Below are 18,033 nucleotides of genomic sequence, written 5' to 3'. Positions count from 1 at the left end.
TGCAACCTCTGCCTCTCGGGTTCAAGCAATTCTCCTGCCTCAGCCTCCTGAGTAGCTGGGACTACAGGCACATGCCACCATGCCTGGCTAATTTTTGTATTTTTAGTAGAGATGGGGTTTCACCATATTGGGCAGGCTGGTCCCATATTGGGCAGGTTTGGGATCCTGACCTCATGATCCACCTGCCTTGGTCTCCCAAAGTGCTGGGATTATAGGTGTGAGCCACTGCGCTCAGCTGGTAAGTATTTTTATATCTACACATAGAAAAGGTACATTAAAAATATGGTATTACAATCTTACGGGACCACCTAAGATTGTAATAGCACAGATTGAGGCCATCCAATCTTATGGGACGGTTTGGGACCACCGTTGCTCTGTATGTGGTTCGTCATTGACCAAAACATCATTACAGCACATGGCTGTAATTTAAACACTCCTTCCAAAATGGTGTGGTGGTGGGCACCTGTAATCCGAGCTACTGGAGAGGCTGAGGCAGGAGACTTGCTTGAACTCGAGAAGCAGAGGTTGCAGCGAGCTGAGATTGCACCACTGCACTCCAGCCTGGGTGACAAGAGTGAGAATCTGTCTCAAAAAAACAAAAAACAAAACACACACACACACACACACACACATCTTATTGAAGTGTCACAGATATATACAGAAAAGCACCTGCAATACGTGTGCAACTCAGCATGTTTTGCTAACACATGCCCATGCACCCAGCACCTGGCAGCACCTTCCTTTCCCTCAGGGCACTCTTCTGGTTTCTATCCCCATGGATTCATTTGCCTGCTTTTGTGTGCGATAGAAACGGGATCATGTACCCTTTTGTGTCTGGCCTTTTTTGTTCAACGTCAGATTTGTGAGAGTCACTGTGGTTGCTGGGAGCAGTTGCAGGTGGTTCCTTCTGTTGCTGTAGAGGGCAGCATGGTGGGAAGGGAGCATGGGATAGTCATCCATCCTCGTGTCTGAGTGTGGACAGGCCCTGCGGAGCTTCCAGTTGCGGGCTTTCATGAACAATGCTGCTGGGGACACTTTCACTCATGGCTTTGGATGTGTGTGCATTTCTGTTGAACTTAAGGGTCTGGTACAGTTTTCTCATCTCAACTACCCATGAGTAGAGGCCTCTGCCTCTTTGTTTACTGAGCATTCTATTTAGAATGTAGGCCAGCTAGCTGCCTGACCAAGCAGCAAGCTGGGGTTTCTCAGACTACAGCTGTATGTGAGGAGCAGGTGGCCTCTGGCCATGGCTCTGCCATAGAACATCCCAGGAGCAGCCTCCAGAAGTGTCCAACATTTGCTGCAACTGCCCTAATGCTGGCCTTTTACCCTTGTGCAGGGATTGGGGTGGCTTTGCTGGGCCACAGACTATGTGTTTGTTAATAGTAAATCTGCCTATCAGTCTTCCAGAATATCAGTCTCCACACCCATGAGCAGTAGGCAAGGGTTCCAGTTGCTCCATGTTCTTGCCAAAGCTGGGTATCTCATGTACCCTTTTGTGCTGGCCTTTTTTGTTCAACGTGTGATTTGTGAGAGTCACTGCGGTTGCTGGGAGCAGTTGCAGGTTGTTCCTCCTGTTGCTGTAGAGGGCAACATGGTGGGAAGGGAGCGTGGGATAGTCATCCATCCTAGTGTCTGAGTGTGGACAGTCTCTGCAGGAGCTTCCAGTTGCGGGCTATCATGAACAATGCTACTGGGGACACTTTCACTCATGGCTTTGGATGTGTGTGCATTTCTGTTGAGTAACTGCTCAGGGGTGGCTTTGCTGGGCCACAGACTATGTGTTTGTTCAATAGTAAATCTGCCTATCAGTCTTCCAGAGTATCAGTCTCCACACCCATGAGCAGTAGGCAAGGGTTCCAGTTGCTCCATGTTCTTGCCAAAGCTCGGTATCTCATGCGCTTTGAAATTTCAGCCCCTCAGGTGGGTGTATGATGGTAATCTCAGGGTGGTTTTGCTTTGCATTTCCTGATGACTAATGAACTTGAGTGCCTTTTCTTATGCTTATCAGGCCTTTTCCTTTAAAATGCTTTTTAGTGACCTGACATGACTTTTAGATTGGTGGGGAGTGTGCATCCCCCCCCGGCCCATCTCTATCTTTCACTAACAAGCTTTCCCTTATAAAGCAGATGTCACATTCCATTTTCTTCCTCTGTGAGTGCCTCAAACACACAAATGAAACATCTAGCTAATTACAGGCAAAAAGAAAACCTCTCCGTTCATTTTTTTTCCCAAGGGCTCATTTTGGGTAGCTATGTCCCCACTTTATTATCTCCATCCAAAAAGTGACCTCACTTGGTTGCAGTTACAAAGGTTTTCTTATGGGAATTCCCCTGGGAGTCCTCTGTAAGTTCCTTCCTGAGACTTTATCTTGGCAGCAGCGAGCATTTGGTTACACCTGGCTCAGAAACTTTCACAATAAAGCAGTATGGGCCGTGCTCTGAATAGAACTCTTTGGGGCCTCCCTTCCCTTTTTCCCAGTGCTAGGGAAACCCCTAGTACTCTCATCAGACACTCCCCAGGGTGGCCATGTGATAGCCCTCCCTCCTGCCTCCAATGCCTCCACATTCACAAAAGGATAGGAACCCCAGCCTGTTTGATCCTCAGTAAGGCACGTGGGTCCCTGGCCAATTTGCAGCAGAAAGAAAAGCTGCAGTACAAATGCCTCATTCATTCAGCAAATGTTTATTGAGCACTTAGTAAGTGACAGTCCCTGTGCTAGGCATTGATTCAGAGATGAGCCCAAGAGACATGGCCCTTTTCCCCTGGCGTTTATGTTAGCGGGTGAGGAGGGCCAGATGGTGCGTAAAGCCAACACATTAGAATCCTGTTATGTTCTCAGATGCTGCTGGTGAGCACGGAACCTAGCAAAGCACTCTGGCAAATTGTTTGGGAGTTTCTTAAATCATTAAAGGCGCTTTCATCCTATGTCATAACACAGTGATATAGTTTGGACATTGTCCCCGCCCAAATCTCATATCGAAATGTCGTCCCCACTGTTGGAGGTGGGACCTGGTGGGAGGTGATAGGATCATGGGGACAGTTTCTCAAGCGTGGTTAATAGTGTGTCCTTGGTACTGTCCTCATGAGAGTAAGTGAGTTCTCATGAGATTCAGTTATTTAAAAGTGTGTGGCACCTCCATGCTGTCTCTCTTGCTCCTGCTCTGGCCATATGATATGCCTGCTTCCCCTTCGCCTTCCTCCATGATTGTAAGCTTCCTGAGTCCTACCCAGAAGCTGAGCAGATGCCGCCATGCTTCCTGTACAGCCTGCAGAACCGTGAGCCAATTCAACCTCTTTTCTTTGTAAATTGCCCAGACTCAGGTCTCTCTTTCTTTCTTTCTTTTTAAAAAATCTCTTTTTTTTTTTTTTTTGAGACAGTCTCACTCTGTCACCCAGGCTGGAGTGCAGTAGTACAATCTTGGCTCACCAGGCTCAGGTATTCCTTTTATTCTTTCAAACAGAGTTTTGCTCTTGTTGCCCAGGCTGCAGTGCAATGGTGCTATCTCGGCTCACTGCAACCTCCACCTCCTGGGTTCAAGCGAGTCTCCTGCCTCAGTCTTCCAAGTAGCTGGGATTACAGGCACCTGACACCACGCCCAGCCAATTTTTGTATTTTTAGTAGAGATGGGGTTTTGCCATGTTGGTCAGGATGGTCTCGAACTCCTGACCTCAGGTGAACCACCTGCCTCAGCCACCCAAGTGCTGAGATTGCAGGTGTGAGCCACTGCGCCTGGCCAGGTATTTCTTTTTGGCAATGGGAGAATGGCCTAATACACCCAATGATTCCAGTTGAATATATTTATCAGAGATATAAAAACACACATCCATAAAAATATTTCTTCCTTGCAGCTTTATTAATAATGGCTTCGAACTGGAAACAGCCCCAGGATCTTCCTAGAAGAATGGATACCCCATGAGGACGCCCACACAATGGGGCACTGGGGGACATACTACTCATGAACACCAAAACATTTCCCCTGAACCGAGGACGCTGGACACAGGAGAATCTGCACTCATGCTTTTATTTATAGGAAGAGCTAGAATAGGCAGAATTATGCCATGGGGCAATGGGGCGGGGGGATTGGTGGGGAAGGGGCAAGAGGCCACGTTCTGGGGTGATGGAGCTATTTTATATCTTAATGGGGTGTAGATGTTTAGATTTGTGTTACAATTGATCCAATTGTTCACTTAAGATCTGGACATTTTACTGTATGTAAATTACAGCTCAGTCTAAAACACCTAGTTACAAAGTCCTATACAGGAGAGAAACCCGTGTGAGGAGTGTGCTGAATGCATGCTCACAGCTGGATGGAGTGGTCCAGGAGGGTCTCTGTCCAGGTGACTTTTAAGCCAAGAGAATGAGGAGGAGGCGTGGAGAAAGATGCTCTGGGAAGGATGTATTAGGCCATTCTCGCACTGCTATAAAGAAATATTGAAGCCTGGGTAATTTATAAAGAAAAGAGGTTTAATTTGGCTGATGGCTCCGCAGGCTGTACAGGAAACATGGCAGCATCTGCTTCTGGGGAGGCCTCAGGGAGCTTTTACTCACGGCGGAAGGCAAAGGGGGAGCAGACGTCTCACAGGCAGGAGCAGGAGCAAGAGAGAGAGAAAGGGTGAAGTATGACACACTTTTAAAACAACCCGATGAAAACTGGTTCGTGAGAACTCACTATCACTATCGCTAAGGGGAACGGTTGCCAAACCATTCATGAGAAACGGCCCCCATGATCCAGTCACCTCCCACCAGGCCCCTCCTCCAGCACTGGGGATTACATTTCAACGTGAGATTTGGGCGGGACACAGCTCCAAACCATATCAGAGGAGAATGCTTGTGCAAAGGCCCTGTGGCTGCCGTTGGGACGGGGGGAGAGTGGCTGGGGGAGAGCTTTTCCTGAGCCATGGGTTGATTTTCATGTCTGGCCCTGTGGCCTGGGGGACCAGTAGGTCTGGCCTCTCAGAGCCATGGTCCTGGGGCTCACTCCTGGCATGCTCCCTTCCTGCCCCCATCCTTGACTTCTTTTATTTTTGTCTTTCATCCTGATGTAATTTATAAGCAATTTTCTTATATTTTACCCGCCTATATAAACTGACTGTAATATTTTATGCAGTGGAGGTGGGGGTGGGGGTAATGGCAGGACAGGGCAAGGTAATGTTTAAAATGCAGAATGAAGTGTAAAATGTAAACCAGCTCAGAGTATGCTTTGGAGCCATCCTTATTCTTCCTGTGGATGCAGTGAATATATTCAGATTTAACTAGAATGGATGCTTTCCCCCAAAAGAACAGTGATAAAAGCAAAAATTTAAGCACTGCAAGTTGTTCCACCCACCACCCACAACCCAGGGAGCAGACTCCTCAGAGGGTGCCTGAGTTGCAGGAGGTGACCCCACTGTTCCACATTAAGGTCTCATGGCCTGGTGACTCTCAGCATGCAGACATCACCCCACACCCTGGGATCTTTGTGTTCCAGGTGACCTGTGCATTTTCCGTACAAGCTTCCCTCTAAACCCAAGCTTAGAACTTCATCTGGCATTCTGTTACAGAGACAGGCAGGAGGAAACACTTAGGTGCTAGATCTGTGTTAGAGATGGGTCTCCAAGATGGCCTTCCTGAGAGGTTTTCAGGGATTATTGTCCTCAGACTCTAACCTCCTCATCTGACTTGGTATTTGGGGAGAGAGAATGCTGGACTTGGAGCCAGTACACCCATTCCTGCCACCAAACTGCTGTGTGACCTGAGGAATATCACTCAACCTCTCTGAGCTCTACTTTCCACCTGTTACCAGTTCAAGGACGAGGTTGGACCTGGCTATCTCATTCAGGGGTCTCTGGATGAAATGCAGGCCATTCATTAGCCTCTTTAAGGGCAGAAAAACACCTGTTCCAATGACTGTTTATTAAAATCAATAACATGATCATTTAAACATTTCTCCCTTTGAAATGGAAGTTGGAGAGCCTCTGTGGGTATCATGAGGTGGTCAGTAGAAGTCAGGGCACAACTTACTGTTCAGCCGAACACTTCTAACCACCTGCAGAGATTTGGCCAAGGGAGCATTTTAAATTGTTTTTCTTCTTACTCACCTATTGTTTAATTGATAACTCTAATGAGTTAGGAATGAGGAATGCTGATGTGAACATACTAGTTAAGGAGGATCCCAGTGTGATCAATGTTCAGCAAATTCAGCTCAGGATGGTCTCATAAGTTTCATAGATTGATGGTTCCAATCTAAATCCTTCTATATAGTCTATTAAGAAATCTCCAGTACTTCATTTTTTATTGGTTGGTTGGTTTGTTTTGAGACAAAGTCTTGCTGTCGCCCAGGGTGGAGTGCAATGATGCAATATCGGCTCACTGCAACCTCTACCTCCTGGGTTCAAGCGATTCTCCTGTCTCAGCATCCCAAATAGCTGGGATTACAAGCACATGTCACCATGCCTGGCTAATTGTTTATTTTTAGTAGATACAGGGTTTCGCTCTATTAGCCAGCTGGTCTCAAACTCCTGACCTCAGGTGATCCACCCGCCTCCACCTCTGCCTCCCAAAGTGCTGGGATTACAGACGTGAGCCACTGCGCCCGGCCTGAAATCTCCAGTACTTCAAACACCAGTGCTAGTAACCTGACGGTGGAGAAGCAGCCAGGTGATCGGGGTCCATACCAGCAGTGATAAGTCATGGTGACAGTATGTACCCTTGATATGATGCCATGAGAATGGCTCTTTACCTCGGTGGTCTTCCTCCCTCAAACTAATAATCCCAGCTGAATAATGAGAAGAAAGTTCCAGTTGAGGGACAGTCTACAAAAGACCTGACCAGCACTTCTCAAAAGTATCAGAGTCAACAGAAAACAAGGAAAATCTGTGAAACTGTCATGGCCAAGAGGAGCCTAAAGAGTCATGAGGACTAAATGCACTGTGGTGTTCTGGAGGGGATCCTAGGACAGAAACAGATGTTAGATAAAAGCCAAGGACATCTGCATACACTATGGGCTTTAGATAAAAACGTGCCAGTGGCCGGGCATGGTGGCTCATGCCTGTAATCCTAGCACTTTGAGAGGCTGAGGTGGGTAGATCACAAGGTCAGGAGTTCAAGACCAGCCTGGCCAACATGGTGAAAGCCCATCTCTACTAAAAATACAAAATTAGCTGGGTGTGGTGGCACGCGCCTGTAGTCCCAGCTGCTTGGGAGGCTGAGGCAGGAGAATTGCTTGAACTGGGGAGGTGGAGGTTGCAGTGGGCCAAGATCACGCCATTGCACTCCAGCCTGGGTGACACAGCAAGATTCCATCTCAAAAAAAAAAAAAAAAAAAAAAAACAGTGCCAGCATTTGTGCATTAGTGGTGATACATATACCACACTAACATAAAATGTTAAAAACAGGGGAAACGGTGTGCAGTATGTGGGAATTTTCTGTACTATCTTTGCAATAATTCTGTAGAGCTAAAACTGTTCTAAAAGCAAAAGTTTATTTAAACAAAAACAAAGGAATGATGGTGATGATTACAATCTGATGTGAATATACCTGGCTGGAAGTGAGCCCGTCTCATGCCTACTGTGTGTGTCTGGTGGGGAAGAGATTGTGAAAAGCAGTCTGAACTCACACCACTTGTGTCATTATGTAGAAACAAGTCATGAAAAAGACAAAACCCAGTTGGCTGACTTTGGAAATGTAACATGCAAGCTGATGGAAGCAGTTTGGGTCTATTTTTGATGTGACAGCATCACCTCAAACCAGTTATAAAATGAACTTTCTTGTTTGCATTTGACAAATCATGCTTCCTGTTTACCAAGTATTGAAGAGAGTTAGCACTGAGCTTTTCTTGCTAAATGAGTGAAAATTAAAAATTGCCATCATATATATATAGATGATGTCTATAGAGATTATCTATATTATTCAAAATATATAGAAATCTCTCTCTTCCTCCCTCCTTTTATCTGTCTATCTCCATTCCTCCATTCTTCCATCTCTCTATCCATTCATTTATTCATCCATCCGTCCATCTATCCATCCACCCACCCATCCATCCATTCATCCACCCATCCATCCACCCATCCACCCAGGGAGAGGCGAATGAACACACCAATTCACACCTTTCAATAATAGATCAGCATCCAAAATGAAATATTTATGCTTAAAATCACTTCTTTATCATATAGCACAAAAATGAAACAAAATGGTGGGTTTAATTCCCAGGAGTCTTCTGAGACCAAGAACACGGTGCAAGGGTTTCCTGAACCCCAGAGGTGATGCTCAGCTAGCCCATGCACCGCTTAGGTCCCTTCCAGCTGTGACTGTGGGGGGGGGTTAACGACAAATTGGGGGTGTAAAATCAAATTGGCAAAAACAAGCCTGGACCTGCCTTTTGGAACTTGATCAAGTGCAGGGGGAGTGACACTGACCAACTCCTCATGAAAATGAATGTGGGGCAGATGCGTGAGTGCCCAGGGAGAGGGGCCTGTGCCGCATTGCAGAGGGAGAGATGGAGCTACAGGCCGAGGGGCTATATGTGCCCAGGCCCCAGGAGCAGGGAAGAGGGGATGAAGGGCTATAGGAAGGCCAGTGAGGCCAGATGGAGAGGGCAGCTGGGGGAGAAAAAGGAATCTGGAGAGGCAGGTGAGCCCCGCCTGCAGGCAGGCCATGAAGACAGAAAGAGTGAAGTCATCTTGTTTGTCTGTAGATATGGAAAGCAGTGGACAGATTCGAAAAATGCACAGGAAGGGGCGCCAGCTGCACCAGGTGGTGGGCTGGAAGTGGGGACACAAACCAAGGGGCAAGGATACAGTGGTGCCCACAGTTTTGTGACTTGAATAAGGGATGGAGGCTGGGGAGATCTGAAGACCGAGCTGGGACTAGGAAGCAAACGCTACCTTTGGCCTAGCACACACCTTGATCAATTTGGCAAGCAGGAACTGGAATATAGCCCGAGGCTCTCTCCCTTTTCCCCTGAATTCCCAGTCTGTCCCAATATCCAGCTGTTGATGGTCCAGGAAACACAATGCAATAAACATTATGCCAGATTATGCCTCCTTTCTAATTGCTCACATCAATAGCTCCATTTCCACCATGTTCAGACTTTTGTGTTGAAGTGCCATGTAAATGCATTAAAAAATCATTACACACCAGAGGCCATATGTGGGCAGAAATAATTCTGATTAAGTGTAAAAGGGAAAGAATTAAGTCTTGGGTATCAAGGGTAGTGTTTGCACACCACACCCAGGGGCAAACAAGGGTGCAGCTGAAGACAGGGCGCTGTCTCAGGAGGGGGTGGCTGGCCCCATTGGGGTGGGGCTGGCATTCCCAGGGTTGTGTGGGTTTGGCTGCATGTGGGGACCCAGAGCCCAGACGAATCATGGCAAAAGGCCCAGAGGAGGCAAAATGTCCCCATGAGCTGCCATGAGAAAGGAAGCTGAAATTACCAGGAGGGCATCTACTGTATGTGTGGGTCCCCTTCCAGGGCTAAATAGATGAAACTAGTAATTTGTCTACCTAATGGCCATGTGACCATTGTCAAATGGATCTCTGAGGGCTGGGAAGGCTTTTAATGCTTCATTACACAGCATGAAAACCCTGGCATGTGTGCCCAGTGCTGAAGGCTGAGGGCCATGATAGACGTTGACGAGGGGAACAATGCCAGGCAGAGGCAGGCACGGGGAGAGACGAAGGCCTCACCAAACAGTCCAGCCTCTCCAGTGTGGCTCCTGCAGCAACAAGGCAATCACAGAGACATATCTTCTCTCCAGAGAGCTAGGGAGGCAGCAGCTGAATTAGTGAGGACCTAGGTTGGAGCCAGGAGAGAGAGTGGCAGTCCTTATCCTGCCATACCTAACTGGTAGGCCTTTTCTCTCAGCATCTGAGTCTCAGGGTCCTCCCCTGCCCAGCCAGGTGTGGCTGGCCCATCCTGATGGATTCACCAAGAGAACACTCTTGGAGGTGGGAAATTAGGCACATTCCTTGCTCTTTGAGTTCCTCAGTTTCCTTGTCTGGAGTTCAAAGTGGCTCCTAATATAACTTAACGTGAGTATTAAAGGGAATGACATGAGTAAAGGGCTTGCAATAGTGCCTAGAACAAAATGAGTTGTCAACAACTATCAATTACCATCCATCCATCCATCCATTCATCTATCCAGCTGTCCATCCATCCATTTATCCATCATCCATCCATCCATCCATCCATCCATCCATCCATCCATCTATCCATTCGTCCATCCATCCATTCACCTACTATCCATCCATCATCCATTCATCTACCCACCCATCACTCATCCATCCATCCATTCATCCACCTGACTTTCACCAGGCCTGCCATGGCCAGGCCCTGGGCTAGGGCTAGAGAAATGAACGAGACTTTTTTCTTGCCACCAAGTAAACCAAGTCCATCAAGGGAGACAGAAGTGGTGGACGAAATTAACTGAGACCCAAGCTGCTGCATGCTCTAAGAGAAGTGGGAGCTGAGCTCGCATGGCATCAGCACAGAGGGAGGGGGCCTGGGATATTGGGGTGGACCCACTATTGGCACACAGAGCTTACTTAGCCAGAATTAGAACCCTTCTACAACACAGATCATAATATAAAGCTGCATAGACTGCACTCCATGAGAGCAAGGGCTATAGCTACACTGTATCCCCACCTTCTGGTCCTATGGCTACATTATATCCCAGCTCCTGGAATTGTGGATACACTGTATCCCTCATTTCTGGTACTGTAACTGTCCTAAAGGAGATGCATCTATGTCTGTTTAGTTTGATTTGAATGATGCATCCAATTGCAGAGACAGAAGTTTCCTCAGTTATTTACATCACAATATGGAAGAGAAACTCACTGTGTGAACTATTTCCACAGAACATCGGGTTCTGTTCACAACTGGTACTTGCCCATCACTGCAGGTGGCATGGTGGTCCCCTGGGCTATGCTTCCTCCAGCCTTTGCATTTGGTCACAGAGGACAGGGGGGCAGGCTCCTCTCTAGATGGGTCATTCCTACCCCTGCTGTCAATGGAGGAATCTGTCTCTGGGCTTGGGGTTAACATTGAGTCTGTCTCCTCGTGAATGTCCACAGGGCATCCCAAACCTACCCCAAGTTCAAATACACCAAGTGCTCTGAATGACAGCTGGTGTGCAGGAAGTGTGCCAAATGTCAGCTTTTGTGATTGTTGTAATTATTAACATGCTCAAAAGCAAACCCCTACAGAACAGTCTTTTCAACAAATTGTGCTGAAACAAATGGATATTCACATGCAGAGGAATGAATTTGGCTCTCTAGCGTACTCCACATACAAAAATTAACTAAAAATGGACTGACCTAAATATAAAAACTAAAAGCATAAAACTCTTAGAGGAAAACATCGGGGTAGATCATTGCAACCTTGAATTTGGCAATGGATTCTTAGAGATGACTCCAAAAGCATGAGCAACAAAAGAAAACGTAGGTAAGTTGGGCTTCATGAAAATTAAAAATTTTGTACATCAAAGGACATTATGGAGAAAGTGAAAAGACAACCTACAGAATGGGAGAAGATATTTGCAAATCATTCAGCTGATAAAAGTTTAATATCCAAGCTCTATAAAAACTCCTACAATCCAACCAAAAAGACAAACAACTCAATTAGAAAATAGACAAAGGAATTGAGTAGATATTTCTCCAAAGAAGATAAACAAATGATCTATAAATGACATAGTGATTAGGCAGTGAAAATCAAAGCCACAATGATATACCACTTCGCACCCACAGGATTGCTGTAATTAAACAGTATATATATCAAGTGCTGCTAAGGATGTGGAGATACTAGAACCCGCATACACTAGTAGGGGGCCTGTAAAATGGTGCAGCCATTGTGTAAAACAGTTTGGCAGTTCCTTAAAAAGTTAAAGATAAAACTATGTGATCCAGCAATTTTACTTCTAGGTATATACCTCAGAAATTTGACAATAGGAACTCAAACAGACACTCACATGCAAATGCTCATTGCAGCATTTTCAAAATAGCCAAAAGGTGGAAATAACCCATGTCTGTCGATAGATGAATGGACAAACGCAATGTGGTATATCCATTCAATGGAACATTATTCCTCCATAAAACTAATGATTACTGATATATGCTACAACACGGATGCCTTAAAAACATACCAAGTGAAAGAAGCCAGACACAAAAGGACAAATATTTTGTGATACCATTTATATGAAGTATCTAGAATAGACAAATTTATAGAGGCAGAAATTAGAATAGATAGAGGTTACCAGGGGTTAGGAGAGGCAGGGCGGGGTGGGGAATGGGAAGTGACTGTTTAATGGATACAGAATTCCTACTTGGGGTGATGAAAAAGTTTTGAAAATAGATAGTGATGATAGTTGTATGACATCGTGAATGTATTTAATGCCACTGAATTCTACACTTAAAATGATTAAAATGTTATGGTATATATAATATCTAACACAATTTTAAACAAAACAAAACAACAAGTAGTAAACCTCTCACTTATCCCCACCCAAACCTCTCCTTGTGGTCTTTTCCTTCTTCCAGCCACTCAATCTGGAAATCTCAGAACCATTTTTGACTACTCTCCTGCTCTCAGCCCCTACATTCCATGTGCTGGCAATTCCTGTGGGCCCTACTTTCAAAATAGACCCAGGGTCACCCTCCCCTACCTGCCTCGTGCACCTGGATTATTGCAAGAGCCTCTGAGCAGGCTTCTGCCCCTGGCCCATCAGCCTTTTCTCTGTAGGACAGCCAGAGGGACCTGTTAGAACCCAAGTCAGCTCAGGTCCCTTCCCTGCTCCAAACCCTACTGCAGTAGCAGGTGGTGGGGAGGGGGTGGGGAGTGTTATTTAGCTCCCATGGTTCCAGTGGCCCTGGAGACCCCCACACTGGCTCCACACCTTCCATACCTCTTGGGTTGCCCCTCCTGCTCCCTCTTTCCCTCCCTCTCCTGGCTGGTTCTGGAATCCATCCAGCACACTCAAGAAGAAGACGCACGTGCTGGGGCTTCTGCACTGGCTGTTCCTTCTGCCTGGAATGTTCTTCCCCCATCTCTTTCAGGTGTTTTCCCACACCACCCACTCAATGGCACAGAGTAGGTGCTCAATAGCTCTGTGGGTGAAAGCTTCAGGAGGGACAACTCTTTCTATCCTCCCTGAATGGTAAGATAGCACCATGATTAAATGAACAGCTTGCTTGCTTGGAGTTCAAATCCTGCCTCTGCCACTTACCAGCTACAGGACCTTAAATAATCTCTCTGTGCCATAGTTTCCTCAACATAAATGGGGGGAAACAATGGGACCCACCTCATACAGTGAGTGGGGATTGTACATGATGATGCAGGTACCAGGGCTTCCATGGGTGACTGGCACGCAGTCACCTGCTCAACCAACATTAGCTAACATCACCTTCCTTCCCTCCCTCCCTCCGTCCCTCCCTACCTCCCTCCCTACTTCCCTCCTTCCCTGTCTATTTCCTTCCTTCCTTCCTTCTTTCCTTCCTTCCTCATTCCTTCCTTCCTCATTCCCTCCCTCCTTCACTTGGTGCCCAGGATACTATTAGTGCAGAGAGGCATGTGGGTTGATTTCCAAGAGAAGGGGATATACCAGCTGAGTTTTGAGGGTTGTGCAGGAGTGAGTTGGGCAGACATGTCCCAGTGGAGGGATGCCGCAGACCTCACCCTAACTCCACCTGCCCTTGTGGGAGGTTCAGACCACAAGCGTATAAATAAGTAGCTTATTAAAGAATAACTAAGGAGCTGCTAAGTAGGCAGAATGGGAGGGGGCATCTGTACCAATCAATTGCTCCCTGGGAGAGTGGGCTTGTGGTTTTGCAGGGGAGCGAGAATGAGCAGGTTATAGGATCAGTCACAGAGCACTCGGTGTGACTTCACACCTGGGTCATATGGATGAAGCTTGCAGTGATGACATTGATGACAATGATGATAATCCTCACTCATGCACAGAACAGAGCCAGGCACTTTGGAAAGGCTATGAACTCAAGTCCTTTTCACAGCCACCCTCCGGACTTTACAGATAAGGCATAGAGTGGTTAAGTAAGTTGGCCGAGGGCACAGGGCTGCAGGCGGCAAAGCTGGGATTGAGACCTGGGAGGCTGGCTCTAGAATTGGGGCTCTCTGTACTTCACAAGATAAGTGCTTCCTCTCTCTGGGTCTGGGTGCCGGTGGCAGGAAAAAGTGGGAACCCAGACCTCTTTCTGTTCTCCAACTCTGTGGCTTTTTAAATTTCCTATTTACGGGCGAAGCCACTGACGGCCTCCAGGTGTAAATGACATGGACAGAGCGAAAGTGGCGTGGTGCTGTGAGGCTTCCCATGGAATTTCTTCATGCCTACTGCGGTGGAATGGTGCATCTGGCAGCAAACCCAAGAACCGAGGCTGGGACACCCGTCCTGGGGTCTTACTCCTGACACGGCTGCTACCCACAGCAGGGGGCACGATTCCACCCCACACACAGCCGAGGTGCAGCGGGGTGGACAGGAAAGGCCTGCTCTCCGGGAGTGGAGGCTGTGGCCGTCATCCATCCATGATTACAGCTCAGATCTGATGAGCTGAATCCTCCAGTAAGGAACACTCCAGGTCCTCACATCTGAGACATGACCCATGCCCAAATGTAAAGCCTATAAAGACCAAAGCACAGGCCTCCAGAGTACACCCTCATGCACAGGGAACGGTTTCCTCAAGATGTCCTAGAAGCATTGCTGGGTGATTCTGCCTGGGGTGGGGAAAGGGAGAGGCAGTGGCCTCACAGCAACTGGACTCAGACACCCTGGGTTCTAGTCTTTTTTTTTTTTTTTTTTTTTTTTTTTTTTTTGAGACATGGTCTTGCTCTGTTACCCAGGCTGGAGTGCAGTGGCAAGATCTAGGCACACTGCGGGCTCAAGCGATCCTCCTGCCTCAGCCCCTCAGGTAGCCCCGGGACAACAGGCCTCCGTTCTAATCTTGGTGCCATCAGTTACTGGCTGTGTGGCCTCAGTTTCTTTGTCTGCACAATGGGGAGGATTATACACCCCTTTACAGGGTAGCACTGAGGATAAATGTGTGAAGCATTTGAATCAGTGCCTGAAGCTTGGTGGGCTGGTCATACACAGTGAGCTGGGGCTGTGTTTCCAGTGGATCACAGAACGGATCATTTCTACACGTGAGCTTGAGGAAGCCGCTCAGGAAGGCAGGACAGCCTGGCCGCACAAGAGTAGGCCCTGGTGGCCCACTTCAGCGCCCAGGTTTTTTGCCTGCTCTGGCTGGAGGGGCCCCTTTCTCTTTCTTCTGGGCCTTTAATTTGATGAGTATACAGTGTCACTTCTAGAAAGAAGCCAGACCCGGCTGTTTGAAAGGCACGCATCAGAATAAGTTTCTCCATGGGAATTCGAAAAGAAGAAAAGTCGGGGGAGGGAGGGGGGAAGAATAAAAGGAGGGCTTCCCATGCTATAGTTAGCAGTCCCGGGTTGGCGGTGGCATCCTGATTGCAGGGCACTGCCTCCTAACCAGGGCTTCAGAAGGGCAGAGCTCAGCGTGTAATTAAATAAAACCCACTGCACACTGCGGCCCCCTTGTCACTATCCCACTCTTAGGTTTATTTAATAACCTCTGAACTGGGAGGGGAGAATCATCCAGGAAACAGGGCTTGGGTCATTTATTTTAAAATTATTGGTACAAAAATATCCTGGGTGGTGATTTATGTGCAGCCAGGGGGGAGGAAGTCAGGGACTCCCCCTCCGGCCTAGCGTCCAGGCCTCATTTGTCTCCGGCTCTCTAAGTTCCTCTCAGTTTCCATTATGATTTCGAGTCATAGTAGTGACTTTATATCACAAATAAATCTCCAGAATAGCACGGAAATATTATGTGTATTAATAGCGCCTGTAAAAACATCCGAAAACCTCGTATCCGCTGCAAGACGCTCCCCCGGGATTGGGAACAGCCTGGGCCGGCCTAGCAGATGTCTCCCCAGGGGCCGCGCAGGGGCCCCTGCCCGGCGGCGCCCCCAGCCCCAGCCCAGCCCCGGGGCTCTGTCTGTCGTCTGTTTGTCTGTCAGTGCCCCAGCGACCTGTGACCGACACAGTCCCTCCCCTCTCGCCTTCACCGGGAGCAGCGCGGAGGGGGGAGGACTGTCCCCGCCACCAGAGGTGGGGGTCCCTGCCTCCTGCTCCTCGTGCGCCCCTGAGTCCTCCGCAAGCCACTGCCCCTGGGGCGTCCCAGATCCACTGCGGCCGCGCTCGCGGTCCCTCACCCCCCGTGCCGCCCTGGATACTCACCGACTGTGGGGACTTCCCTGGGGGGCAGCCCCTCCAGGCCGATGTCGCCCTCCTGCATGGCGCGTTCGCTGCGCGACTCCGGTGCACCCGGGACCTAGCGAGTCCAGACTAGGGAGCGACGAAGTCACCCCTGGAGGTCTGCGGCGGCTCTGGGGGCCAAGGTCCGAGCCTAGCTCGGGAGGGGACTGTCCCCTCTCTCCTCCCCAGAGGCAGGAGCGAAGCCGCGCGTGCTGTAGCCAAACTTGGCTGCCCTCGCTCACGGCCGCGCCGCTCCTCCCCCTCGGCTTTTTGGTCTGGGGGTCCCGGGCAGACCTCCCCACCCCCCGGGGGTTACCTGCGGACACCGCCCTCGCCCCGCCCCGCGCTCCCCGGACTCCCAGCGAGCGGCGCGGGACGCTGCAGAGGAGCAGCGGCTGGTCCCCAGGTCCCGGCCCGCCCCCGGCCTCCCGCTGCGCGGGGCGCGTCTCCACCGCTCCCAGACCGTCTTATCAGTTGGGGCGGGCAGTGGGGCCCCGAGCGGCCCTGCGAGGTGCACCCCCAGCCAGGGCCCCAGGGAAGGGGTGTTGACTACAGGAGGGGGCCTTGAGCCAGCCCCCGAGAGACGGGCGCAGCCCTGGGCGCGGGGCGGTTCCGTGAGTGGCCCTGGTTCCCGCATCAGAAGAGCGCCCTGGCCCCCTCCCCCAGGCGGCAGGACCCCGACGAATCACTGTCAATTTGTCACACGAGGAGGCTGAAGCCCAGGGATGGAAAGGAGAGCTGGAGGTTACAGGTCACTGGGGTCCTGAACTTGAATCCAGAAATTCGCCTCTGCCCACCCCCCTCCCCTCCCCGGGTTCCCTCCCGCAAGCCACAGCCTGTGCAGAATGTAGAAATCTGGATAAAGTGAGAAGGGTTTCAAAGTGGGGGAATGTCCTGTTATGTGAAGATTCCAGTTAACTGCGGCTAAGAGGACTGGACCCGGGGGTGCATCCAGGGACGAGGCAGGGACTCTGATGCACAGCCTGTCCCCGACCCTTCCTCTTCCCCGCCTCATGGGCTCAGGGCAGGAAGCCGGGATTGCCCCTCTCCAGCCCTGTGGGGTTTAGAAACCAAGGTCTGGACAATTCAGCATCCTCAGAGACAGCAGCAATGTGGGCCCTACGGAGGGCGGGCGTGGGGAACTGCAGTGCCGGCGCCTCCTTGTGTACCCACAAACCTCACACCCCTGACATCTCCAGATAAATACCATAAATTCTCAGGCAGAACTACCATAAACAGAATGCTAAGTGGCTCCGTGACCACAGGAGAGGCCGTGGGGGACAGGGCAGCCGCCTCATCTTTTGAAAGGTCATCTGACAACTTCTGCACCCCAAGGGAGGAGCTGGTTTGGTGCTGAGGACCAGCCCATGCCAGGGACCCTTGGATCACTTGCCAAGGTAACACTTCACCTAGTGCCCAGCTTTGGCTGGGCCCTGAGGGAGACAGACCCGGCTACCCCTGGAGGACAGACCACATCCCCGCGGAAGGCATCTGGATGGAGGAGGAGCTGTCCTCCTCCCCACCAGGCCTGCTGGGATTGGTACCTGAGGACACTGCCCCAGGAGGAAAGCGCTTGCTCTTGAAGCGGCAAACCCACAAAGACATGTTTCCTGCCGGGTCTCCTTCCCCGCCCCCACCTCAGCGCTGTACTGTAAAAGGAGACGAGAGGCAAGATTCCTTCCTCGCATTGAGTCTGAAAGAAAGGTGACCTGCCATTTTCCTTAGCAATGATCTCGTTTCAGTCCGGACTCAGAAATGATCTCGTTTCAGTCCGGA

The 18,033-nt window shown here is 49.4% G+C and overlaps 1 protein-coding gene across 4 annotated transcripts in view, besides 1 other annotated feature; it reads right to left on the bottom strand.

Annotated features, from left to right (window-relative positions):
* ANO1 (anoctamin 1) overlaps nucleotides 1–18,033 on the bottom strand; it is a 223,534-nt gene that overhangs the window by 187,125 nt on the left and 18,376 nt on the right. For 3 of the 4 annotated variants that reach the window (NM_001378092.1, XM_047427181.1, XM_047427184.1), the window contains exon 1: nucleotides 16,240–16,499. The exons of the other annotated variant lie outside the window; for it this stretch is intronic. In NM_001378092.1, coding sequence (NP_001365021.1) covers nucleotides 16,240–16,297 — 58 coding nt within the window. In that variant the 5' untranslated portion in view covers nucleotides 16,298–16,499. Of the gene's footprint in view, nucleotides 1–16,239; nucleotides 16,500–18,033 lie in introns of those variants that run through there. 4 annotated transcript variants of the gene reach the window in all.
* Nucleotides 15,506–16,323: an enhancer, noted in NCBI's record as "H3K27ac-H3K4me1 hESC enhancer chr11:69832189-69833006 (GRCh37/hg19 assembly coordinates)". NCBI's record gives its function as "activates a minimal SCP1, AML or CMV promoter by ChIP-STARR-seq in naive H9 embryonic stem cells {active_cell/tissue: H9 hESC(naive)}" and the evidence as "EXISTENCE:reporter gene assay evidence [ECO:0000049][PMID:30033119]".

This window comes from Homo sapiens, chromosome 11 (genome assembly GCF_000001405.40).
Source record: "Homo sapiens chromosome 11, GRCh38.p14 Primary Assembly".
Classification (NCBI taxonomy): domain Eukaryota; kingdom Metazoa; phylum Chordata; class Mammalia; order Primates; family Hominidae; genus Homo; species Homo sapiens.
This window is presented reverse-complemented; position numbering and strand designations above follow the sequence as displayed.